The sequence below is a fragment of the Homo sapiens genome, chromosome 16, assembly GCF_000001405.40.
Source record: "Homo sapiens chromosome 16, GRCh38.p14 Primary Assembly".
Taxonomy (NCBI): Eukaryota; Metazoa; Chordata; class Mammalia; order Primates; family Hominidae; genus Homo; species Homo sapiens.
The window spans coordinates 13,578,990-13,605,756 of NC_000016.10; the positions used below are offsets into that span (position 1 = coordinate 13,578,990).

General features: G+C 43.4%; 2 annotated features.

Moving 5' to 3' along the window:
- Positions 4,295-4,853: an enhancer, noted in NCBI's record as "OCT4-NANOG hESC enhancer chr16:13677141-13677699 (GRCh37/hg19 assembly coordinates)". NCBI's record gives its function as "activates a minimal SCP1, AML or CMV promoter by ChIP-STARR-seq in primed H9 embryonic stem cells {active_cell/tissue: H9 hESC(primed)}" and the evidence as "EXISTENCE:reporter gene assay evidence [ECO:0000049][PMID:30033119]".
- Positions 16,172-17,105: an enhancer, noted in NCBI's record as "OCT4-NANOG-H3K27ac-H3K4me1 hESC enhancer chr16:13689018-13689951 (GRCh37/hg19 assembly coordinates)". NCBI's record gives its function as "activates a minimal SCP1, AML or CMV promoter by ChIP-STARR-seq in naive H9 embryonic stem cells {active_cell/tissue: H9 hESC(naive)}" and the evidence as "EXISTENCE:reporter gene assay evidence [ECO:0000049][PMID:30033119]".

Consider the following 26,767-nt stretch of genomic DNA (forward strand, 5'->3'; position numbering starts at 1 on the left):
CTTTTTTTGTGTGTCCACAGATTTTTGTGGGTGTCTCTTTTGTGACTGCATGCGTAAAGCTTTGAGATCTTGCAATTTGAGGCCAGTGGGAAACATAATTGATGCAGGATATTTTCTTAACCTCTTCACGGGACTCGTGACGGGGTGCCCTGTTTACTCACCCTGCCCCACTCAACCCCTCACGGGAGGGAGTGCGTAGGCGAACAAGCACAGGAACTGGCCAACTGCTTTAGCACTGGCAGGAGCAAACTCTGTGCAGGTCCCACAGCAGCATACAGGTAGGGGTGCCTGCAACCCCAAGGCCCCAGAGGGTGAGTTACAATGCTCTTTCAGCTCTGCTGTCTGCAGACAGGAGTGTGTGATCAGCTCAGTGGGCCCTTTGTCTCATCATGTAGGGTGGCTGCCCTCTGTCAGCAAGGGCAAAGGGCCAGTGTGAAAGGTTTTTTGGGTATCCATACTTGGTGTGTCCTGAATTCTTGTCTAGTGCCCAGGAGGAATGAGGTCATGCAGACAAATTGAAGGACGGTGAATGCAAGAATTCACTGAGCAATGAAAGCAGCTCTCAGAAGACAGGGGAGCTGGAGAGGGGACGGGAAGGGCAGGTCGCTCTCCTTTGAAGTCAAGTTGCTTCTCTGCCGATCCAGCCACCACCTCTGAAGTCAAGTTGTCTCTCTTCACTGTCCAGCTGCTTCTCTCTCTCTCTTTCTTTCTCTCTCTCTCTTTCTTTCTCTCTCTCTCTTTCTCTGCCAACTGAGTCTGGGGTCTTTATAGGCAAAAGATGGGGGTGGGGCAGGCCATAGGTAGTTTTGGAAAAGGCAACATCTGATTGGTGAGAAGACATTATTTGGAAAGAACCAATTGGGAGAGAGCAGTTACACAGGGATGGAATTTCTCACTTTGGGCCACAGGTTTCAGGGTTTTCAGCTGGAAAATGGGGTTTTGCTGGGAACTTGCCTGTCTGCCTAGAATTTCTCTACCTCTCTCTATCACAAGTGTACACTGTGTTAGTATAGAAAATAAAGTTTTCTTAAGAAGAGTAAGAAATGTAAATGAAAATACAATAAACCTTTTACATAATGCTAATAACAACCAAGACCAATGCATTTTACCTTATCAGTAAGTGTGTTTGTGTGGATTAAAATGGTTTTATTTTGTTAATGAACAGCTTCTGTCCATAAAGATGCTGTCGATTTGTCTACCCCACTCCACTTTTGCCTGCCTTTCCTTGAGCAGTGATTTCATTCCTTGCTCTGGAATGGTTTGGGCTGTCAGCCTTTCAATGGCCATTTTGTTTGAAGGTCACGTTGCTAGAACCCAGACCTCTGCTGTCATGGAAAGCTGGCTGGGAAAACATTTCTTTAGAGCTAGGGGCAGCCTTAGTGTCCTTGGAGCTGCCTAATGTACTTCTCTATCTGAGACAATAAAAACCCAATTAGAAAAGCTACCCTGGCTTGGATGTCTCTGCTCACTCAGTCAAAAGAGGACTCTATATACATAACAACAATGATTCTATAAATTGATTGACTGCTTCTAATTTACGTAGTGCTTCTGAGTTCATTATAGAAATAATATTAGGCCAGGTGCAGTGCCTCAACTCTGTAATCCTAGCACTTTGGGAGGCCAAGGCAGGCAGATTGCCTGAGGTCAGGAGTACGAGAATAGCCTGACCAACATGGTGAAACCCCGTCTCTACCAAAAATAAAAAATTAGCTGGGCGTGGTGGTGGGCGCCTGTAATCCCAGCTACTTGGGAGGCTGAGGCAAGAGAATCACTTGAACCTGGGAGGTGGAGGTTGCAGTGAGCCAAGATGGAGCCACTGCACTCCAGCCTGGGTGACAGAGCAAGACTCCATCTCAAAAAAAAAAGAAAAAAAAGAAAAGAAATAATATCAGTCAGGACTCTGTTGCAGGTACCCAAAACTCTCAGCTCAATGAATTCAGCAAAAGAGAAAAAAATTGAAAGTGTAAGGGTAAATTTCAGGCACGTCTTGATCCAGGGACTTATTTGAGGACCCTCTTATTTATCTCTTTCTCTTGTCTCTGCTGTCTGTTTGGCTGGCTTCTGTGTCAGGATCCATGTTTGCCCCCTGGCTAATAATTGCTAGCAATACTTTCAGAAATGACTTTGCAGCTCTTTCTCAATATTATTAGCAAAGTTTCCTTGTATCTCACTGATTCTCATTAGGTTACATGATCATCCCTGAACCAATGACTGTGGACAGGCAAATCTTCATTGCCTCTAACACGCAGAACTCCTCATCACCTCCTTACAGCCAGACTGGAGCTTCCAAGGACATTCAAGTTGGCAAAGACTGTGAGCATCCTGAACATTTAAAAGAGTCCCTCTAATAGGCAACATTTGTTCTTCAACATGGTTTCCTAATTTGGTGACCACCTATGCATCACCTCTCTCATATCTTGAAGCTTGGACAAACTGGAACAAAGTCTCTTTGTCCAGGTCCCAGGTCACAAGCCTCCAGGGTTGGGGTGTGGTTGAAAGTAAGGCAAGCGTCTCCCAAGGGAAAATCAAACTGCATTAAAAGAGTGCAGTAGCCGGGCACGGTGGCTCACGCCTGTAATCCCGGCACTTTGGGAGGTCAAGGTGGGTGGATCACCTGAGCTCAGGAGTTAGACACCAACCTGGGCAACACGGTGAAAACCCGTCTCTACTAAAAATGCAAAAAATTAGCCAGGCGTAGCAGCGAGCTCCTGTTGTCTCAGCTACTTGAGAGGCTGAGGCAGGAGAATCACTTGAACTTGGGAGGCGGAGGTTGCAGTGAGCCGAGATCGCGCCACTGCACTCCAGCCTGGGCGACAGAGCGAGACTCCAGCTTAAAAAAAAAAAGTGCAGTAGATGCTGCCAGTGCCTTGCCCAGATCCTCAACACAAACCCAGTGCATCCATCTTCCAGCTCCTGATCCATAGACCCTACTGCATTCTTCCCTGTAGAATCACTTGCTATTGATAGGAGCCTTCTACCCAGTTGTGCCTGGGGAATTATGTCCTTCTCCTGAGAGTGGCCAATAACCTGTGTCTGATGGATATGGGCATATTAAGTGCAGCTACCTGACTTCTGGGTAGGACAAACCCTGTGCTATAATTCATGCTCCAAAGTGATCAGGCTTAGTCCAAACTTCACCTGAAAGCACTTCTTTACATCCCTTCCTGTCCTGCCTCATCTGCTTCCCTTAATGCATTACTCATTTGTCCAGAGAGCATGCCCTTAATAAAACACGGGCATAAGATTTTCTGTTGCAAGCTCTGCTTCCAGGCAACAAAGCTTGCAATAGATCAAAATAACAAAAGCCAGCCAAGTAGCAAAAACAATAACCAATCCAAAGAATGATGATAATGATGATGACACCGTGTATCAAGGACCATGATATGGACTGGCTATTATGCTAGATGTTTTACATATATTTGTTTATATTCTTTTTTATTCTTTTTTATTTTTTTGAGATGGAGTCTTGCTCTTTCATCCAGGTTAGAGTGCAGTAGCATGATCTCGGCTCACTGCAACCTCCGCCTCCAAGGTTTAAGCGATTCTCCTGCCTCAGCCTCCTGAGTAGCTGGGATTACTGGCACACGGGAACACACCCAGCTAATTTTTGCATTTTTTGAATTAGAGATGGGGTTTCACCATCTTATCCAGGCTGCTTTCGAACTCCGGACCTCATGATCCACCCACCTTGACCTCCCAAAATGCTGGGATTACAGGCGTGAGGCACCGTGTCTGGCTTATTTGTTTATATTCTAACTACAGCCCCAGAAAGATAGTCATCATTAATCCCTACTTTACAGAGGAGGAACCCGGGGCTTAGAGAAGGGAATTGAACTGCCCAGGCTCATATTGCTAGGAGTTAGCCAAGCTGCGTATGAAACGACTACCTCTTCTGCCAGTTGCTGCTGCTCAGAAACCAGCTCAGTAATATAACACTCCTGCCTCTTTTTAACGGCAATATTATGTTCTTAAGTGTGTCATATGTATCAGACACTTTGCTAAGACTTCATATGCATCATCATCTTATTTAATTCTCGTAACAGCCCTGAGGAATAGTTACTATTATCACGTTTTGAAACAGAGACGTGGAAAGGTTAAAGATCACCCAGCTAGTCAGTGGTACAGACACTATCTGGCCAGGCTGGAGTGCAGTGGAGCGATCTCGGCTCACTGCAAGCTCCGCCTCCCGGGTTCACGCCATTCTCCTGCCTCAGCCTCCCGAGTAGCTGGGACTACAGGGGCCCGCCACCACGCCTGGCTAATTTTTTGTATTTTTAGTAGAGACGGGGTTTCACCGTGTTAGCCAGGATGGTCTTGATCTCCTGACCTCATGATCCACCCACCTTGGCCTCCCAAAGTGCTGGGATTACAGGCGTGAGCCACCGTGCCGGGCCCGATGTGGGCTTTTCTTATATGGTCTTTATTATGTTGAGTTAGTGTCCTTCTGACCTCGAGATCTGCCCGCCTTGGCCTCCCAAAGTGCTGGGATTACAGGGGTGAGCCACCGCGCCCGGCCAGGTTTCTCTTTTCTTCTCCTGAGCACTGACTTCCTGGATGCATAAGAAAGGAAATAACTTTGGGCCATCAACTCATGGCTCTTAATCAACCTAAGTCAGCTTCAAAAATGGCCAGAGTTGGATGTGAAATTGTCTGGCTGCTCCATGTGCTTACAATCCAGGAAAAAAGACAAGCAACTCTGAGAATTGTGTTTAAAATTGGGATCCATTTCCTTCAGCTAAGCAAGAAGTTGGCTCATTTTTTTTTAGTAATTGTCACAATTTGCCTAGTACTTTCTTGATTGTCTGGATTTCCCTAAAAGTAAGCTCCATGAATGCCTGGTCTAGATTTGTATTCCCAATACCTGGCACTGTTATGGCACATAGCTAATATTTTTAAAATATCTTTGAATATGTTTATTATTATTTATTATTATTATTATTATTATTATTATTATTATTTTGAGATGGAGTTTCACTCTTTCACCCAGGCTGGAGTGCAATGGCCCGATTTCGGCTCATTACAACCTCCACCTCCCAGGTTCAAGCAATTTTCCTCCCTCAGCCTCCCGAGTAGCTGGGATTACAGGTGCACACCACCACACCAGGCTAATTTTTGTATTTTTAGTAGAGATGGGTTTTCGTCATGCTGGCCAGGCTGGTCTTGAACTCCTGACCTCAGGTGATCCGCCTGCCTCGGCCTCCCAGAGTTGCTGGGATTACAGGCGTGAGTCACCATGCCTGGCCACGAATATGTTTTTTAAATGAAACAAAATAGCATCCACATCAGGCTGTGTGCTACTAACGCAGAAACTTCCTTTTAAAATGGAAAATAAAATGATAAGGCTAGGAGTCTACCAACTTCCCATGATTCTACCAGTGATTAAAAGCCAATCATTCCATTATTGTGTTCTGTTCTGAGCTTTCCAGAACTTAATTCTGCCTCCTAAATTGAGATCAGAAAACTGGTAGAGAATTGAAATCCTCTGGGCCATTTCTTTCTTCCAGATACTTCAGTCGCCATCAGCACTGTCTTAATGAATCTCCACTCTATTAAATTGTTATTGGGTCTCCAAGCAGGTCATTTGTAACCCCTCTTTCTCAGAACAGAAATCAAACTGTGGAAAGGAATAGGGAAACAGAAAGCAGAATGAGATTAAGATGTAATTTCCTATGGTGGATCCACATTTAATTAACTTTTTCCGAACAAAATGCTCTCACATGGTGGGGTCATACTGTCAAGGAGGTTGTAGCTGGTGGACTCTTCCTCCGTGGGACTGTCTAGACATCAAAGGGGTAGGAAATCCAGAGGTGGCTCCTCTATTTGGAGAACTGGATATTTTGCTGCCAGGAGTCTGGAGAATTTAAACTTCCTGAGTCAATTCAATTTAGGTAGGAACTAATTCATCTTCTGTCCATCACCCAATCACTATGCCAGATCATGTTCCTGTCATGTTTCATTACCTCCTTTCAGCTGGCATCCCTGGTTCACATCTGTAATCCCAGCAGTTTGGAAGGCCAAGGCAGGTGGATCACTTGAGGTCAGGCATTCGAGACCAGCCTGACCAACACCATGAAACCCCGTCTCTACTAAAAAAAAAATATAAGAATTTGACCGGGTTCAGTGACTCATGCCTGTAATCCCAGCACTTTGGGAGGCTGGGGTGGGTGGATCACTTGAGGTCAGGAGTCCAAGACCAGCCTGGCCAACATGGTGAAACCCCATCTCTACTAAAAATACAAAAATTAGCCAGGTGTGCTGGTGTGCACCTGTAATCTCAGCTACTCGGGAGGCTGAGGCACGAGAATTGCTTGAACCCAGGAGGCAGAGGTTGCAGTGAGCCAAGGTCATACCACTGCATCCCAGCCTGGGCAACAGAGTGAGACTCTGTCTTAAATAAATATATAAAAATTGGCATCCTGCCTTCAATCTTAAGCCACTTTCTACCCCCGTGCACTCTAGAAAGAATAGTTATTGATTGAGCTTCAACTACATCCTGATACTCTAATCACATCACATGGATTAATTTATTTAATCCTCACAATAAATCAGTGGGGTACATGGGATTATCATATTCACCTTGCAGAGGAGGAAGCAGGGCTTAGGGAAAGGAAATGGCTCACCCAAAGTTCCACATGCTGGTCAATGGTGGAGGTGAGATCCCAGCCCAGGGAAGCCTGATCCCAAAGACGATGTCATTTATGTATATTGCATAATGATGAGGTTTGGGCTTCCATTGAACCCTTTACCAAAATAGTTTACATTGTACCCAGTAGGTAATTTTTCAACCCTCACCAACTCCTACTCTCCCACTTTTGGAGCCCCCAGGGTCTATTATTTCTGTCTTTGTGTCCACGGGTGTCCCTTGTTTAGCTTCCACTTATAAGAGAGAACATGCAGTATTTGATGTGCTATTTGTGAGTTATTTCACTAAGGACATTGCAGGCAGAGGAAAGAGCATACACACCTGCCTCTCCTGCCTCCACCAATGTCCATGTGGTTTCTCTGAAGCCCAGATCTGACCATGTCACCCTTAGTAGCTTTCTGGGATTCTCTGCCACTCAGTTAATGAGGTCCATTTCTTTATCCTAGCAAGTTTCCAAATTGAGCTTTAATCTAGGTCCCCATCTTATTCCCAATTCCCTGACTCTCTCCCCAATGTACCTGCCACTCCAACACTTCTAACCTTACCCTATTTCAAACATACTACTCTCTGTCATATTTATGCACCTTTTGTTAATTTTCTATTTTATTTTTTATTTTAGATTATTTTATTTTGTTCTTATATTTTATTTTAATTTTATATTATTTTATTTTTATTTTAGATTGATGGGTGTACAAGTGCAGGTTTGTTACGTGGGTATACTGCATAATGGTGAGGTTTGGATTTCTATTGAAACCATCACACAAATAGTACACATTGTGCCCAGTAGGTAATTTTTCAACCCTTGCCAACTCCCACCCTCCCCACTTTTGGAGTCCTCAGTGTCTGTTATTTTCATCTTTGTATCCATGTGTACTCATTATTTAGCTTCCCCTTATAAGTCAGAACATGTAGTATTTGATTTGCTGTTTCTGAGTTATTTTACTTAGGATAAAGGACATGCCAAGCAGAGGAAAGCACATATGCAAAAGGTGCATAACCTTCGCCCACTTTTATGGGCTGGGAATGTCCCTCCCTTCTTTCCTCTCTGGGGAATACTAAGTCATCATCCAAAGCCCCAAAGGCACATCCCCTGTAAGGCCTTATTTGACTGTCCAAGAAGAAGCTCATCCCTCTTTCTCTGGCTCCCATAGCACTTTTCCCAAATACTTCCAGGGCACCTCAATTTTGCACCATACTTACATTCAGGTTTTTTGTTTTGTTCTGTTTTGTTTTTGAGACAGAGTCTTGCTCTAGCCATGTAATTAAGCTTGTACTGTTCAACAATAAACATGGTATTTCATATTACTCAAGGTTGTTCATTGTAAATTAAATGTTCATTGGAAACTAAAATATCATTTTGCGTGTGACAAATTGAGCTCTCTTTCTTGCATTGATGGCCTGTGAGTTGGATCTAGCCTGAGTATATTTTATTTGGCCCACATACTGTTTTACAAATTATGTTTCAGAGTTTCAAAACTCTAAACAAAAATCTAAAAATCATGAATATTTACATTTTTAAAAGCACATTTTAAAATCATATATTTTTTTTAATTCTGAAAAAGTAGATCTAGCAATGCAGAGTATCCATTCCTGAGAAACTGCTGAGTATTTTCCAGTTTTGCCTAGCCATACTTATTTATTCTGTTTCCTTCCTGGCCCCTCCAGGTATTTTAGTTTGCAACTCCTTGTTTAGTTTAACAAGTCAATCACAAAGGAATCAACCATGAAATTGAAGATGTAGTCACCCAAGAGCATATTTTAATTTAAATTTAACATTAGCCAATGCTTCAGGCTAATGATGAACTAGCTGTTCCAACAAAACACACACACATAAACACACACACACACACACACACATACCATGGCTTCAGAATGAGTTCTATTAATTCAACCAAACAAATACGTACTGAGTACCTACTATGTGTCAGAAACAATGTCAGGTGTTTTGATGACAACATCAACTTAATCCTTGCTCTCAAAAAGCCCAGGGACAAGTAGAGCAAATATACAACTGAATAGAAAATTGCAATGCAATGAAATAATCCATAGGTTAATGAGTGTATTACAGAAATTTTGATATGAAGTTTGTTCCCCCAGTTTTTAAAATGTGCAGAATCAATCTAGGAAGCAAAGGTGCATGGAATAAAAGCTTACAACTGCCTTTCTCTTTGGGTTTGAAGAAGTCTTTACAGATCTGGAGGAGATCTGTAAGTGACTCACTTAAGGTCAATGGTTGACATTATGTGCAGACCTAGAACTCAAGAACTGGGCAGGTGTCTTGTCTTTTGTTTGTTTGTTTTTGGCAGGACAGATACTAATTCCCTCCTACTGACTTGAAAAGTGGATTGCCCCTTTGCTGAAAAATTTAGAAAACATTATTAGGACATAGTTAGCTTCAGGCCACTCCTTTATAATATCTCTTGATTTATCTGAGATCATTATGATGGCAAAACGTGGACTGAAAGATATTTGTCTTGTGGGCCTTCATCTAGAACATCTGCCTGAGTAATGATAATTTGTGTTCTTGGGGGTCAGCCTGGAAGTGAGTCTTTAGTGTGATGCCACAGGATCATTATATCAATTAAGGGCTTGGTGGAGGCTCTAGTGGTCATGCTGATCCAATCTGTATTTGACAAAATTCGGAATGGAACAGCTAATATTCAAAATGAAGGAATCTAATTCAGAAAGATCTCACTAGACTGAAACATTGGGCACAAGCCAAAAGATGAGCATTAACCAGGATAAATATTACCTTTTTAAAAATCAATTGCTCAAGTAGAGAATGGAGAAGATCTGGCTTGGCTGTGGTTCCCATGAGAAAGACCTGGGATGTGTTGGAGGCTTGTGCGAGCCAAAAGCAATACAATGCCATAAAAAGACACCAATAGAGAAAACTCTTTCAGTTAATAAATGAGAGAAATCCAAATCAAATTGATTAAAGTAATATGGAGAACTTATTGGATCATATACCTAAAAAGACCAGTAGTGAACTCTAAATATTAGTCATGTTTTAATATGTATCAACCAACCTCCAAATCTCAGTGGCTCTCAAGAACAAACATTTGGGTCCATGGGGCACCTTGGCTTGGCTGGACCAAGCTGGACTCAGGACTTCTGGTTGCTTCTGAGTGCTCCCTGGGTCTTCAGTCTGGCTCCCATCCAGAGAGACAGTGGCAACTTGGGTAGGGTCATTTCATGGCTAATCACAGGAGATAAAAGGGCAAATGGAAATGTAAATGCTTTAGGTTCTCTGCTTGGAACTAGCAAACCTCACTACTGCTCACATCCTGTTGGCCACAACGAATCTTGTGACTGGGACCACATCAGTGGAGTTCAGAATTAAAATCCATCCTATTTATTAGGAGGTATTGTGGTTGCATGGAAAAGATCACAGATGTGTAATTCCTTTTTTTTTTTTTTTTTTTAAGATGGAGTCTCACTCTATTGCCCAGGCTGGAGTGCAGTGGTGTGATCTCAGCTCACTGCAGCCTCTGCCTCCTGAATTCAAGCCATTCTTCTGTCTCAGCCTCCCAAGTAGCCGGGACTACAGGCACATGCTACCATGTCTGACTAATTTTTTTGCATTTTTAGTAGAGACAGGGCTTTACCATATTGGCCAGGCTGGTCTTGAACTCCGACCTCAGGTGATCTGCCTGCCTCAGCTTCGCAAAGTGCTAGGCGTGAGCCACCATGCCCGACCAATATGTAATTCTTTTTTTCTGAGACAGGGTTTCGTGCTGGTTGCCCAGGCTGGAGTGCAGCAGCACGATCTTGGCTCAGTGCAACCTCCACCTCCCGGGTTCAAGCAATTCTCCTGCCTCAGCCTCCCAAGTAGCTGGGGTTACAGTCGCCCATCACCATGCCTGACTAATTTTTGTGTTTTTAGTAGAGACAGGGTTTCACCATGTTGGCCAGGCTGGTCTTGAACTCCTGACCCCAGGTGATCCGCCCGCCTCGGCCTCCCAAAGTGCTGGGCTTACAGGCCTCCCAAAGTGCTGGGCTTATGGCCTCCCAAAGTGCTGGGCTTACAGCCACTATTCCCGACCAATGTGTAATTCTAATACACTTTGTGTACTAGAGAAGGAGTGATTCAGTCTCCCTCATTCTGGCTACAGTAAGTCTGGATTCAGAAATTCAAATGATGCCAACAGGAGTCTATTTCTTTCTTCTGTCTGCTTTCCACTATATTGACTTTAAGTACTAAAGTTATCTACACTTACAGCTTACTGCCTACCTTAACATGAACTTACTATTCTACTGTTTTCATCAACATAATTTTACTGTTCCAGGAAACTCTTGCCCAGCAAGATCAAAGTTGCAAACAGCTTTATTGTTCATTCAAGGAACTTTATGAAAGACCTATCAATTCTCCAACTGACAGCATTAAACAATAATTTATAGCCAAGAGTCTTAGAATTGCTCATCTCACATCTCTCATTTCCCTGTGTGTACCAATCCTTAACTATTATATTGCAATCCTTACCAATTCTAAGTCATTACATCAAAGTCCCACCTTACATCAGACTCCAAAATCTCAATAAATATATCTATTTTGTCCTTCCTCCTCTGAGATGCTACTACAACTCTATCAAGATAGTGCTCTTTCTTCTCGTGGTAAAACTCAACTCAACGTTGTCTTATCAGCAGGTTGTTTTGAGGAGCCAGCATTCAATAGCCTCATTCTCAAGCCACTAGACAGCAAAGGTGGCCACCAAACCCTTCAGATTTACGTTATTAAAAGCAGAGTATCCCTATACGAAAGAACAAAAGCTGTTTCTTGGTAGCACCAGCAAAAGTCCTACGCAAGGCTTTGATAGGCCCAAGTCAAATCACATGCCCAACCCTAAATCTAGGAGTCTTTGGGGATATTGTGCTGTGATAATCTTTGCCTGAATTCTTGGCTACTGCTGAAGGTGAGAATGGAATATAACCCTCCTGGGGCTGGGCTCGGTGCCTCAGTCATGTAATCCCAACACTTTGGGAGTCCGAGACGGGCAGGTCATGAGGTCTATCCTGGCCAACATGGTGAAACCACGTCTCTACTAAAAACACAAAAATCAGCTGGGTGTGGTGGCGCGTGCCTGTAATGCCAGCTACTCGGGAGCCTGAGGCACGAGAATCGCTTGAACCCAGGAAGCAGAAGTTGCAGTGAGCCGAGATTGCACCACTGCACTCCAGCCTGGTGACAGAGCGAGAGTCCATCAAAAACAAAACAAAACAAAACAAAACAAAAACCACCTTCCTGAATCATATGGACTGAAAATAGAGGAGATGTGGTTCCCCAGAGGAAAATGCAGCATTTGCTGCCAGGAGAAGGAACAATGGTCATTGAGTAGATAAAAATGACAAATATTTGTTATACTATCTTAGTCGGCCATACCAATAGAAACTACGAGGTCACAAATAAGAAGAGAAAAGCTTTACTGCATTGTTTAATGCTGATTTCTACAGCATTAAACTATAGTGTATCCAGAAGACAGAGCACTACTAGTGAGGGAGTAGGCACCAGTTTAATGGTGAAGCCTCCAAAGTTTATCATGAACAAGCTCTGTGGCACAGAGCTCCTAAAACCCTTTTAGGTTGATGATAGTAGCATCTTTGCTTCCAACGAGGAGACTATTGATGAGTTCCCAGACAGCTTTAGGGCGAGGCTAGTCCATTACTTTTATTGGCGAAAATAGCTATTACTCCTGCACCAACCTTAATAATTGGAAGTTTGGAACGTTCAGCCTCAGGCTCCAACTCCCAGGGAGGGGAGAGGCACTGACATTGAATTAATCCCCGATGGCCAATGATTTAATCATCATGCCTACATAAGGAGACCTCCACTAGAACTCTTCAACCGCAAGGTTCGGACAGCTTCTTTTTTTTTTCTTTTCCTTTTTTTTTTTTTTGAGACGGAGTCTTGTTCTGTCACACAGGCTGGAGTGCCGTGGTCTGATCTTGGCTGACTGCAACCTCCACCTCCCGGGTTCAAGTGATTCTCCTGCATCAGCCTCCTGAGTAGCTAGGATTACATGTGTGCACCACCATGTCCGGCTAATTTTGTATTTTTAGTAGAGATGGGGTTTTGCCATGTGTGCCAGGCTGGTCTTGAACTCCTGACTTCAGGTGATCCCCTCTCCTCAGCCTCCCAAAGTGCTGGGATTACAGGCGTGAGCCACCGCGCTCCACCATTGGAGAGCTTCTTGATGGGTAACACATTCAGGTGCTGGGCGGGTGGCACACCTGGGGAGAGTGTGGAGGCTCTGTGCCCCCGCCTGCATACCCTGTCCTATGCATCTCTTCCATTTGTCTGTTCCTGCATTGTATCTTTTTTTTTTTTTTTTTTTTTTTTTTTGAGATGGAATCTTACTCTGTTGCCCAAGCTGGAGTGCAGTGGTGCGATCTCGGCTCACTATACCTCTGCCTCCCAGGTTCAAGTGATTATCCTGCCTTAGCCTCCTGAGTAGCTGGGACTACAGGCACACATCACAACACCCAGCAAATTTTTTTTTTTTTTTTTTAGTAGAGATGGGGTTTCACCATGTTAGCCAGGATGGTCTCGATCTCCTGACCTCGTGATCCGCCCCCCTCGGCCATCCAAAGTGCTGGGATTACAGGCATGAGTCACTGCACCCAGCAAGTTGTATCTTTTATAATAAACTGGCAATAGTAAGTAAAATATTGTCTTACTTTGTGTGAGTTGTTCTAGCAAATTTTCAAACCCGATGAGGGGTTGAGGGAACCTCTGAATTTGTAGTTGGACAGAAGTGTGTGTAACTGGAGTCCTGATACTTGCAACTGGTGTCTGAAGTAGGGGCAGTTTCTGGGACCACGCCCTGAAACCTCCACTCCACGTGGAGTCTGACACTGATGCCAGGAGGTTAGTGTCAGAAGTGAACTGCATTGCAGGAAACCCACTTGGTTTTGGAGAGATGGAGAGGTGTTGAAAACAGCACCATGTATTGGTATAAGGAGAAAACAAAGTTCAAAGGGGGAGATCTTAACGGTATGTCATACATAAAAGAAAATAAACCTGACTCACACCTGATCCATTCAATTCAATATAAAAAAAAAATGGGCTTCAAGTTCATTTGCTTCATAGTATTCTTTGATTTCAGTAACTAGTTGACAACTTCTCTACCAGATCCTGACCATAGCAAAAGTTCTATGCCAAGCACCGGGTCAGATGCTAGAGCCACATCTTAGAAAAGACGCTGACCACGTGATTAGTGGTGGACGAGATCCAAGTTACCCTGAGTTACCAGCAGCATATCCATGCGGATGTGCAGCAACTTCAGTCCGTCCATCCTCAGAAGAAAGAATTCAACTGAGGGACATAAAGCAGAAAAAGAGACCGAGGCAAGTTTCAGAGCAGGAATAGAAGTGTATTTAAAAAGGCTTTAGAACAAGAAAGAAAGGAAGGTGCACTTGGAAGAGACCCAAGCGGGCACATGAAGGTTAAACAGAAAAGAAGCATGTCTACCCTTGATACTCGGACTTCATAAGCTCGCCTCTTTCCCATGATTCTTTCCTGAGGGTGGGCTTCCCTCCTGCACAGTGTCCTCCTTACCCTCAGGAACTGAGCACATGCAGTGTGTTTAGGAAGTTGTACATATGCCCATCTGAAGTTCTCTTTTTCTGGTGGAGCGTCACTGGAAGGTCATAGTTCACCATTTTCTCTCTTAGTGTGTATGTCCCGGATGTTTTCCTCCCCAGCATCTGCGTTCAATTAACACTTTAATGTTAATAGCTGTGGATCATCAGGAAATGGCCTTTCCCTGGCACCCTCAGTGGGCTTCTGAATTATCATTTTTAGACAGGCGGTGTGATCATCATCGAACCATGACCTGACACTCCTAGTGAGTGTGGGGAGAACCCCTCTGCCCATCTACCTGGAACAATATGAGCTATAAAAAAAAAAAATTATCCAAAATTGGCCAGGGGCAGTGGCTCACGCCTGTAATCCCAGCACTTTGGGAGGCCGAGGCGGACGGATCACCTGAGGTCGGGAGTTCGAGACCAGTCTGACCAACATGGAGAAACCCCGTCTCTACCAAAAATACAAAATAAGGCAGGCGTGGTGGCATGCGCCTTTAATCCCAGCTACTAGGGAGGCTGAGGCAGGAGAATGGCTTGAACCCGGGAGGTGGAGGTTGTGGTGAGCCGAGCTCGCACCAGTGCACTCCGGCCTGGGCAACAAGAGTGAAACTCTGTCTCAAAAAAAAAAAAAAAATGCAAAATTTAGAAATAAGGCCAAAAAACACAGCATGACGCTCGATATCATGCCAGGCCATTGCCTAATAGGCCTGTTCACTCGAGGATTATTTAATTCTCTTAGAAAAAGTATCTGCATTGGCTTTGCTATTTAGTCTATCATTAGAAACCAAATACTATGAAGTTATGTTTCTTCTTGTAAATTCCTATGAAGTAGAAAAGACGGCTCTACAGGTACACTTTTATTTCTCTGTAGGACATTGCCCAGTTTTGTATCTAACCTAGCAATCTTGTCCTAAAGTTCTTCTTTACAAAATGCCTATAAATACCCAGTTCTTCGAACTGCTCTTTGAGCAAGTTTTACCATTGTACTGATTCTTTCATTAAAGAGTGAAATAAAATCTTGGCATGTGTTCAATTTATATTTGCACAGGAGTCATGGTTTTCACTTTTTGAAAAGTATTCTTTGATAGAATTTTCTAGGCTACTAAGAGAGAGACATTAAACAAATTACATTTGGGAAGGGTATTAAGAAGTAATTATAGTGTGTTATCCTGCAAGAAAAGGATTTCACATAGTGTAAGAATTGGGAATGGCTTCCCTGAAAACGTGACATTTCTTGATGCGTGAATGAGAATCAAGTGATGGAAGGAAAATTTGGAGCCAGGCATGGGCCTGCTTCAAAGACCCAAGGCCAAGGGTAAATGAGAGGTGCATCCAGATAGCACCAATAGGTAGAAACCATCCAGGGCACATTTTTCACTAGAGGGGTTTGAATCAGAGTTCCTGGGTCTCCAGGGATGTCAGAATCCCAAAAACGAGGATGGACTCTTAAGCCTCTGCATCTCTGGTTAGGCTTGCACATGACTTTGGCTTCTGTGTAAGTTGTCAAATGACTCCCACAAAATAGCTCAGAAGCTGATCCCTGGACTCAGCATCATTGGAACTACTTCATAGCTCAAGTTTCAGGGAGCAGGAAGCAGTTTCCTTCTCCTGGACTGAAGGACCACGGGAGAAGGGAAGCACATTGCATAGGCCCAACAGAAAACACCAGGCTCTCATTGCCTGTGTCACACAGAGGCCTCTTTAAATCTGCATCCGGTTAAAGGGAGTAGCTGCCATCACGTGGGCTCACTCTGATCCCTGTCTCTTCTTTGTAGCTGAGGGGAGGTTGGATAATAAGCCCCAACAGCTTCTCATTTGGTTGCAAATTTCAGAAGACAAAGGGAAAATAAGAAAAGCCAGGGTTACTGTTGCCAGGATATTAAGCCACTCATGATAACACAAGTTAACTAGAATGCAGTAGAATGAGGTGGCTTGTCATCTGGGCTGGCTGGGCCCTGACTTCTCAGACACAGAAAGGTCTTTGTGAGGGAATTTGGACCTGGGGGATTTGGGGACTAAGTACTGTGTTCATCAGGCAATCAATCCAAGCAATTATCAGCCACAAAAACAAATATGTTTGGATTTTCGACACTCATAGGAGAGGAGCAACACATTTATTGATTGATTGAATGAGACAAGGTCTGGCTCTGTCGCCCAGGCTGGAGTGCAGCGACAGGATCTCGGCTCACTGCAATCTCTGCCTTCTGGATTCAAGCCATCCTCCCACCTCAGCCTCCCAAGAAGCTGGGACTACAGGTGTGTGCCATGACACCCGGCTAAGTTTTTGTACTTTTTTGTAGAGACGGGGTTTTACCATGTTGCCCAGGCTGGGCTCAAACTCCTGAGCTCAAGCAATCCGCCTACCTTAGCCACCCAAAGTGCTGAGATTACAGGCATGAGCCACCGCACCTGGTCAAGGGAGGAGCAATTCAGAATGGCAAAAACAGAGCTGACACTGTTTGTAGACATACAGACCTGGGTTTGAATCCTGACTCTGTCTTTAGAACCTTTCACAACTAGACCCAACTTCACCGCTGTGGGGGATAACAATAGTTGCCAGCTCTTATGGAGTGAATGTTAGTGTCTCTCCCATCAAATCCTACCCGTGATGTGATGGTACTAGGAGGTGGGACCTTTGGGAGGTAATTAGAAGTAGATGAGATCATGAGGGTGGGGCCTCGACAAATGGGATTTGTGCCTTATAAGAGTCAAAAGAGAACTTGCGTCTTCTCTCTGCTCTCTGCCATGTGAGGACACAGGGAGAGGTCAGTGGTCCACAACCCAGAAGACAGCCTCCACCAGAGCTCAACCATGCTGGCACCCTGATACCGGACTTCCAACCTCCAGAACAGTAAGAAATAAACTTCTGTTGTTTATAAGCCACCTAGTTAATAATATTTCATTACCGCAGCCCAAGCTGATGAAACACTACCTCATGGGGCCAATCTGAGCGTTAGGTGAGATAATTCATGCAAAATGCTTAGTTTAGCGTCTGGCATGTAGGAAAGGTTCAACTAATCTTATCTATCATTATTATAACTATAATAATAATACCAGGATCATCAGAGTCTGTCTATACATTTTCATTGCTGTCAAGTCTTGATTTCAGATTTTAGTCTTGATTTTCTATTGCGAGTTTCATCTTCAACCAGTTTTAAAGAGCATGTCAGCAGTGTTTTCAGGGAAGACACAAGGAGTTTTGATGCCTGGCATTAAAACTTTGAGAAACTAAGGATTGGGTGGGTGTAAAGCTGAGAGAGGACAGTGTGGGTGATCAGCTCGTCTGTTTGTCTGGGTCCTTCTCTGTTTTCGTTTTAGATATTTTCCAGAAAATCCCGTTTCCTGGGAAACCCCAAAGTCCTAAGCCAGCCAGGGCAGCTGGTCATCTTAACTATAGAACTAATTCAAGGCTGCACGGTAATTCACAGAACCAGCACATGACCCCAGGCCTCCTGACACCCAGGTTACAGGGTGCCTTTATCATGTCATTTTTACCAACATCTTGTCCTTGGGTGGCCCGAGGAGGGGCACATACAGATAGAAGTTCCGATGTGTAGGCTTTGGGACATAGTTTTTTCAACTGATACTACACATCAATAAGACGGACTGGGAAGACTCCTGCAGCAAACCACAAGATGCTTTCTAAATGGCAGGAGCTACTTAGCAATGGCCAATCATAGCTCTGTGAATAATGTGAGCCCAGCATTGTCAGATATTATACTGATTATTTCAGAGAAAAAGGCTGCGCACAGTGACTCACACCTATAATCCCAGCACTTTGGGAAGCCAAGGCAGGAGGATCTCTTTGGCCTACAAGTTTGAGACCAGCCTGAGCAACATAGGGAGACCCCGTATCTAAAAAAAAAAAAAAAAAAAAAACAAGCATGGTGGCATATTCTTGCAGTCCCAGCTCCTCGGGAGGCCGATACAGAAGAATCACTTGAGCACAGCAGTTCAAGGCTTCAGTGAGTTATGATCATGCCACTGAACTCTAGCCTGGGCAACGGAGCAAGACCCTGTCTGAGACAGAGAGAGAGAGAGACAGAGAGAAGATATCTGAAATTTTAAAAATGTTGTCTTGCTCTGTCGCCCAGGCCGGAGTGCAGTGGCGTGATCTTAGCTCACTGTAACCTCCATCTCCCAGGTTCAAGCAATTCTCCTGCCTCAGCCTCCCAAGTAGCTGAGACTGCAGATGCCTGCCACCATGCCCGGCTAATTTTTTGTATTTTCAGTAGAGACAGGGTTTCACCATGTTGGCCAGGCTAGTCCTGAACTCCTGACTTCAGGTGATCTGCCTGCCTCAGCCTCCCAAAGTGCTGGGATTACAGGTGTGAGCCACCGCACCTGGCCTCAATTTTCAAATACTGACAACTAATTCTATTAGAAAAAAATCCTATAGAGTCAAACAAAACACGTTAGTGGGCCAGATGAAGCTTGCCAGCCATCGGTTTACAAACTTGATTTACACCATGCTCTTCCCCACTTCAGGGCCTTTTCACGTGCTGGTCTCCCTGCCTGGTATATTGTTTCCTGCTCACCTTTTCACATGGACCACACGCTCGATTTTCTTGCCACCTTTGGAAGGTCCCAGGGCTCTGTTCTTGCACTTCTCTTTTGAGTCTATATTCACTTCCTTGTTCACTCATCCTCATGTCCTTAAACATCATCTTGAAGTTAACAACTCCCAGATTTTATCACCAGCCTAGAATTCCCTCCTGCACTTCTGACCCAAATAGTCAGCTGCCTGCTCAACATCTGTCCTTGATGTCTAATGGACACTTAAAATTTGTCTTCCAAAACTAAACTTTTAATCATGCACCTCCAAATCTATTCGTTGCCAGTCTCGCTAAGTGCTGACAGCATTCTTCCATTTCTCCAGCCAAAATTGGAGGCATGCTTGGCTCCTCTCTTTCTGTCATATCTCAAATCACTTCTTCAGTAGATCCTGTTGGTTCTTTCTTCACAATGCATTCAGAATCCATGGTCTTCTCCATCCTTGGTCTACATCACCACAATCCATCACCTGGATTTGAAAAATAGCCTCCACCCTGGACTCCTGGCTTCTGTCCGTGCTCCTCTCAAGTGTGATATCTATACAGCAGCCAGGTGATCCTGTGAAATGTAAGTCATGATGTCTCTGCTCATACCCTTCCTATGATCCTCATTGCATTCAGATGAAAAGCCGAACCAACCTCCCAGTGTCTAATAATCTGCCCTCCTCCCCATCCCATCTCTGACTTAAATTTCTACTGGCTACCTTGCTGTTGTTATCATTGGTTGTTATTTTCCAAAATGCTTTTCCTCCGGGGAATCATGTGGACCATGTCCTTGCCCCCTTCAGAGCATTACTCAGATGTCACCTTTACAGTGAGACCGACCTTTAAAATTCAAAATTTGCAATTGCCACTGTTGACAAAAAGAGTCCAACTCTATAAAATCGTTTGAAGGGATTTTTTTCTGAGCCAAATGTGAGTGACCAATGCCCCATGACACAGCCCTCAGGAGATCCTGAGAACCTGTGCCCAAGGTGGTCAGGATACAGCTTGGCTTTACACATTTTAGGGAGACAGAAGGAATCAATCATCACATGGAAGATGTACATTGGTTCCGTCCGGAAAGATGGAACAACTGGAAGTGGGGAGCTTCCCGGTCGTAGGTAGATTTAAAGATTTTCTAATTGACAATTGGGTGAAAGTGTTAAATAATTATCTAAAGACCTACAATCAATAGAAAGGAATGTCTGGGTTATGATAAGGGGCTGTGGAGACCAAGGTTTCATCATGCAGGTGAAACCTCCAGGTAGCAGGCTTCAGAGAGAATAGCCTGCAAATGTTTCTTATCAGAGTAGATTCTCTCCTGGATCAGCAAAAGGAAAGAAAAGGAGGGGGATTCTCATAGAATGTAGATTTCACCATCCACCCCCCTCCGGCCCCCACCAGTCAGCTTTGCAGGACTGTTGCAAGATATGGCCAAGAAAACATATTTGGCATTAAAATATTTTTATTTCCAGGCCAAGCACAGTGGCTCACGCCTGTAGTCCCAGAACTTGGGGAGGCCAAGATGGGAGGATTACTTGAGCCCAGGAGTTCAAGACCAGCCTGGGCAACATAGTGAGACCCCATCTCTAAAAAGATATATATACACATGTATATCTTAATATGTATTTATCATATATGTATCATATATCATATATGTATATATGTGTATATATACATATATATCATAATATATCATATGTGTATATATGTATATATACATATATATCATAATATATCATATATGTATATATGTGTATATACACATATATATCATAATATATCATATATATATTTCCTTCTTAATCTGTCATATGTTGTTATGTGACAATAACCCGGTTTTAGCTGAGAATGTTCTACAACAATTTGACTGGCTTAAGTTCAGGGTCTTGCTGGACAGCCAAAACTCAGTTATAACATAGATGCTATTTCCATGAAAACCTAAATTCTGTTTGAGTGGCAATCTCTAATTGTCAGGTTTGGGGATGCAAAAGCAAAAACAAAAGGAAGAGAAAGACTTAGAAGGAAAGGGAAAAGAGGATGGGAAATGGAGAATATGAGAGAGAATATATTTAGTCAGAAGAAATAGCTCACAAAAATAGTCCCTGGGGATTAAAAAGTAGGATTTACTGCTTCCACTACCAGTGATTAAGAAGCAAGAGATGTTCTGTGTTCGGCGCTCTGAAGAATATAGAGGAAAGAGCTTCTGTTTTGTTCATAAGACATATTTGACTTTAAATCCCAGCCCTTCTGTTTCACAGCTGTGTAACTTTGGCAAAGTCATGCAGCCTCTCTATGCTTCCAAGTTTGATGGTGCCTACCTCAAAGCACTATTGTGAAGAGTAAGTGAGAGATGCAATTTATATATCCAAATTATATAATGGGTATGGAGCGCCTATTATACAGACAGTAGGGTCTTGACTGAAGACGAAGGTGCGTATGGTCTTACCCAGGAAGTGAAGGCGGGTGGGGTGTACAAGTGCCCAGGTCCAAGCCCTGAGAAACTTCAGCATAGGAGTGCTGGAGAGGAAGGTGAAAGATAAGGCAGCAAAAGATACTGAAGTAACTAGAAAGATCACAGAAAAACCATCAAAGAGTAGCATTACTGAAGCCAGGGAAAGATTGTTTCAAGATAGCTCTCAGGGTGTAATAAAAAGCAAAGACTGAAAATATCCTTTTTTTGGGGGGCGGGGATGGAGTCTCGCTCTGTCGCCCAGGCTGGAGGGCAGTGGCACGATCTTGGCTCACTGCAAGCTCTGCCTCCTGGGTTCACGCCATTCTCCTGCCTCAGCCTCCCGAGTAGCTGGGACTACAGGCACCCACCACCATGCCCGGCTAATTTTTTTGTATTTTTAGTAGAGATGAGGTTTCACCATGTTAGCCAGGATGGTCTCGATCTCCTGACCTTGTGATCTGCCCACCTCAGCCTCCCAAAGTGCTGGGATTACAGGCGTGAGCCACCACGCCCAGCCAAAAATAACCTTTTATAATATGTGTAGCCATTAAAAATGAGGTATTGCTAAAATGGTGAACGTTGTATTTGTGCTTCATGGGAAGAAGCAGATGACAAAACATTTATATATTTATAGGTAAAAGATGCTGACTGAGCTTCTGTTTATTAAGTGCATTTATTCAACAAATATCCATTGAGAGCTTGCTGCATTTTGTGCTCTGTTCTAGGTGCTAGGGTTATGAGGTTGAATAAGACAGCCATGGTCCTTGTCCTCATGGTGTTTATATCTCACTGTGCGTGTGTGTATGTGAGATCATACATACATACATACATATCTGTGCCTTGGGTTGGAAATGAGATATATGCAATGGGTAATGAAATTGGACAAAATCACATTTATGCATATGCATACTGCATATACCACAAAATATAGCAGACTATGTAACAAATATTCATGATAATTCATCCAAGTGGTGGGATGCTGTTTGAGTGGTTAAGAGCTCAAGTTTTAAGGTAGGATAACATGCATTCAACTTAGTTTCGTTACCTAATAGCTGCCTAATTAAGCAAGCTATTTGACCCCAGTCAACCTGTTTCCTTTTCTCTAAAATGAAGATAATGCTGGTCTCTATCTTGTAATACTGTGGTGAGAATGAAATTATATAAGTATATGCTTAATTCAGTTTCTGGCACATAGGAAGTGCTTGATAAGTAGCCATTATTTTTACCAGTGTTTGGCTTGCTTGGATTTTACAATTTTTTGTATAATATAAATATGTTCTTTTTGGAGTTAGAAAACACCATAGAAGTTGTTTAAAACAATAATCTTTTGTTAGAGAGCAAGGATGAGCCAGTTGCCTGGAAACTGAATGCTTGCTTAAAGAGGCAAAAAGGAAGCTCATACTACATGACAGTTTGGTTGTGTCAAATATTGGTGCTTTGCAAATTATTCTGTTGATGCTAAATCACAGAAGAATCTACCAATCACATCACCTAGGAGGGAAAGTGAAATGGACTAAACAAAGCAGAAAGCCCATTTCTGGACAGTGGTGTAACAAGGTGTCCATGAGAGAAACAAACATCATGGGACAGCTATGAACGCCCAGAGAGGACAAGTCACTTCCTGTATTAGTCCATTTTCACACTGCCAATAAAGACATACCTGAGACTGGGTAATTTATAAAAGAAAGAGGTTTAATGGACTCACAGTTCCACATGGCTGCGGAGGACTCACAATCACGGCACAAGGCAAAAGAGGAGCAGAGTCACGTCTTACATGGCAGCAGGCAAGAGAGCTTGTGCAGGGGAACTCTCATGTATAAAACCATCAGATTTCATGAGACTTATTCACTACCGTGAAAACAGTATGGGGAAAATTGCCCCCATGATTCAATTATCTCCACCTGGCCCCAGCCTTGACACATGGGGATTATTACAATTCAAGCTGAGATTTGGATGGGAACACAGACAAACCATATCACTTCCCCAAAGTCACTCAGTTCTGTAAGAGTCAAGACTAGAACTCAGACCACCAGTACCCATACTAAGACCTTATCTATCACACTCACTGCCAGGACTTTACTACTTTCAAAGACACTCTCTGCTGTAGTAGGTTCCTGCCTCTCATTCTAAGAAGACAGGTGCATGCCGTTTCCAAAAGACTGTCTCATCTTTCTATATTAAAAGTCAACAAAACAAAACAGTCTTTCAAAGAAATAATGATGTGTTCAAATCTATGCCTTTTCAGTTTTTCCAAAAAGTGAAACACAATAATAACAAAAAGTCCTAGCAGACGAGTCAGGTGGCACCAGGAGTACTAGCAGGAGAGGTCACTGAATCAGGGAACTGTAATTTATTTCAAATAGCCCTTGGACAGTCATGTCAAATTTACTTCCTAATGTACGAATCTTTGCTGAGACACTTCTGAAAGGCGGTAATTGAGCTGCTGATTGAGCTATTATTTATTTAGCAACTATTATTTCCAGGCAATGAATTATAATCTATGCCCCAGAGAGCATCCAGAGTGACCTTATTAAAACCCAGTCAGGTCTCACCCCCTTACAACGGCTCCTTATCACATTTGGAATGCAATCTAAATCCTTTCCCAAGCTCACAAAGTAGGGCACTGTTGCTGCCCCTCTGACCATGTCTCCTTCCCTCCTCCCATCATCTATTGCACTTCATGCTCTGGCTGTCTTCTAGGCCTTCAAACATGCCCAGTTCATTTCTTCCAGAGGTCTCTATACTAGCGATTCTCTCTGCCTGAATTGCTTCTCCCCCAGGTCTCCCTTGCCACTCAGATCTCATTCAGCTCTCAGCTCAAATGCCTCCTCCTTCAAATGGTCATCCTTGACCCCTGATCTTCTTCCCTGGTCATCTGAAGTCACACCTCCCTTGTTTTATTTCCTTATATCCCTAATCACTATCCGGAATTATTTTGTATCTCAGATCGGATTCTCTAGAAGTAGAGCCTGAGGATTCTTGTGCAATTAATTGGCTTACTAAGGGAATGCTCTCAACAGAAACCCATAAGGGGCTGAGGGAGGTAGGACAGGACATGAGAAAAGCCAGGCAAAGATGTAGTTCAGATGACGTCCAGCCTCCTTTCTCCTTCTGGGAGCTCTGGCGCATAAAGGGCTCCACAGAGTCTGTCCTGCCTTGTGAAAGGGAGCTTGTCTGTTGTATTCTTGCATCAGTGAGTCACTCAACTGAGGGCTGCCTGGAGTCCAGGACAAAAACTTTGAGGCAACCCCAATTGTCCAACGGCACACCTTTGCACAAGGATATAAATGTGAGCTGTTGGGCAAAACTGGGGGAAGAATACACCAACCAAGAGGCTCTGAGTAGGATGCCCACTACACCCACATTATCCTGCTCATTCACCCGTTTCATTGATTTATGTCTGTCTACCCTGCTAGACTTTAAGTTCCATGAAGGCAAGAATTTCATCTGCCTTATTTGCTGTGTGCTACTACTTAGCACGTAATAGGCACTCAGTAAATACTGGTTGAATGTTCAAAGAATGAATTAATAAGCTAAGGCACTTTACTTACTCTAGCCGCATAATTCTTACCATCACCCTGGGAGTCAGGACCTTCAAAGCTGACTTCTTTCCAGGCTTAGATCCAAGCATGTCCATCTGAGAGACAATTAACCAGACGGTCTAGATAAAAATAAATTATGAGAGCAAACTTCACTTCAGCCTCTACCTCGAGTCTTTCTCCCTATTCCCCACAACTTCTTCCCATATATACATGGAGATTTTCTTTTGTCTTTTGAAATGTTTGTTCCCCAAACTCCAGACCATGAGACCAAAGAATCATGAAGAATTAGTGCAGGGATTGTTTTTCTTGATGCTTCATTTTGTTTCCATGCATGTTAAGAATATTTTAAAATAAACAGTAGTTGTTATTCACACAGCTAATCAGGACTGTATGTGTAGGTGCTAACAGGATGGGCTACTATGCATTAAGGTTATATAGTGTTTTAATATTACAAATGACATGGAATTTATTATCTGGACAAGAGGAATGTTTGAGATTTTTTTTTTACCCCCCATTCCCTGCCAGGGACTTGTCAGTCATCTTAAGATGAAATGGTTTAAGATCTCATTCTTCTAGGGGTGATTTGTGCACCAGCAGCTTAAGCACCCTGGAAGCATGTTAGAAATTTAGTATCTTGGTCCCATTCCAGGCCTGCTAAGCCAGAATCTGCATTTTAACCTGATCCCCAGGTTGGAGATAGGTTGCCTTCAGACATTTGCTATTGTCTTTTCTATGTCCTATTTGCTTCAGTCTTTCCTATTGTCCTTCCTTTGGGGAAGCTGACTGTTTCAGAACATCCCTGTTAATTCCTTATATTCCCCTTCCCTGGAGTCCTGGAAGACCGTAAGGAATTAGATCCCTCTTTTGTCTGTAAAAGTTGGCCAACTTGGGATCTTCAAAAGTGAGATAGAGGCAGGGTAAGGTGGCTCGCGCCTGTAATCCCAGCACTTTGGGAGGCCGACGGGGGCAGATCATGAGGTCAGGAGTTCAAGACCATCCTGGCCAACATGGTGAAACCCCGTCTCTACTAAAAATACAAAAAATTAGCCGGGCGTGGTGGCTATAGTCCCATCTACTCGGGAGGCTGAGGCAGGAGAATCACTTGAACCCAGGTGGTGGAGGTTGCAGTAAGCCAAGATCGCACCCCTGCACTCCAGCCTGGCAACATCGCGAGAATGTCTCCCAAAAAAAAAAAAAAAAGTGAAATAGTTACTTGTCTTGCATCCAGCTTTGTAGAAAGGGTTAGCATAAAGAATATAAGATTCTGAAAAGAAGGGCATCAACAGATCTCACTGCTTCTACCCTTTTCTTGATCTTTAGGATGATAAATTTTTCCACGAGCATATGGACTCTATCTTTGTCTTTTTTAGGAGACCATCCAGAGGCCAGTTGCCCGGAGACAAATTGTAAGTCTTTATGATCAGAAAGAATAGGGGTAGATGGCTGTCACTGAGTGATTCACAGGCCAGAGTCCAAATCAATCATCGATGTCAGTACTTTCAAACCCAGGAAGAACATCCAGATGGCCTGCACAATGGATTGAAAAGTTTCCCTTGCCTTAGGGATGCAGATTCAGCATCTCAGAGCAAAGCCTTGAAATATGAATTTTTAAAGAAGTTCTGCAGTCAACTTGGGAACGAATGAGTTTAGTAATTACTGTAAACCAAAATTTTCCAAACTTCATTGATGATTAAAAAAGAAAAACACATGGGATGCTTATTTTAAATGCTAATTCCCGAGTTTCTCTTTTGGAGGGTCTAATTCAGAAGGACCCAAGAATCTGTAAATTACCCAACCATTACTTCTTGTAGGAAAAAGGCTCTACGCTTTACCACCAGCTTGTTTTGCGCTCCTTGGGAATGTCACTCAAGCGCTCCTAGGCCTAATTTCTTCATCTGAATGCTGGATATGAAAATATCCATTTCACAAGGTTCATGTAAAATACTACCGAGTTAATCTATGGAGACACGGTTTGTAATTCTATCAAGTGCTATACGCAGGCATAAGA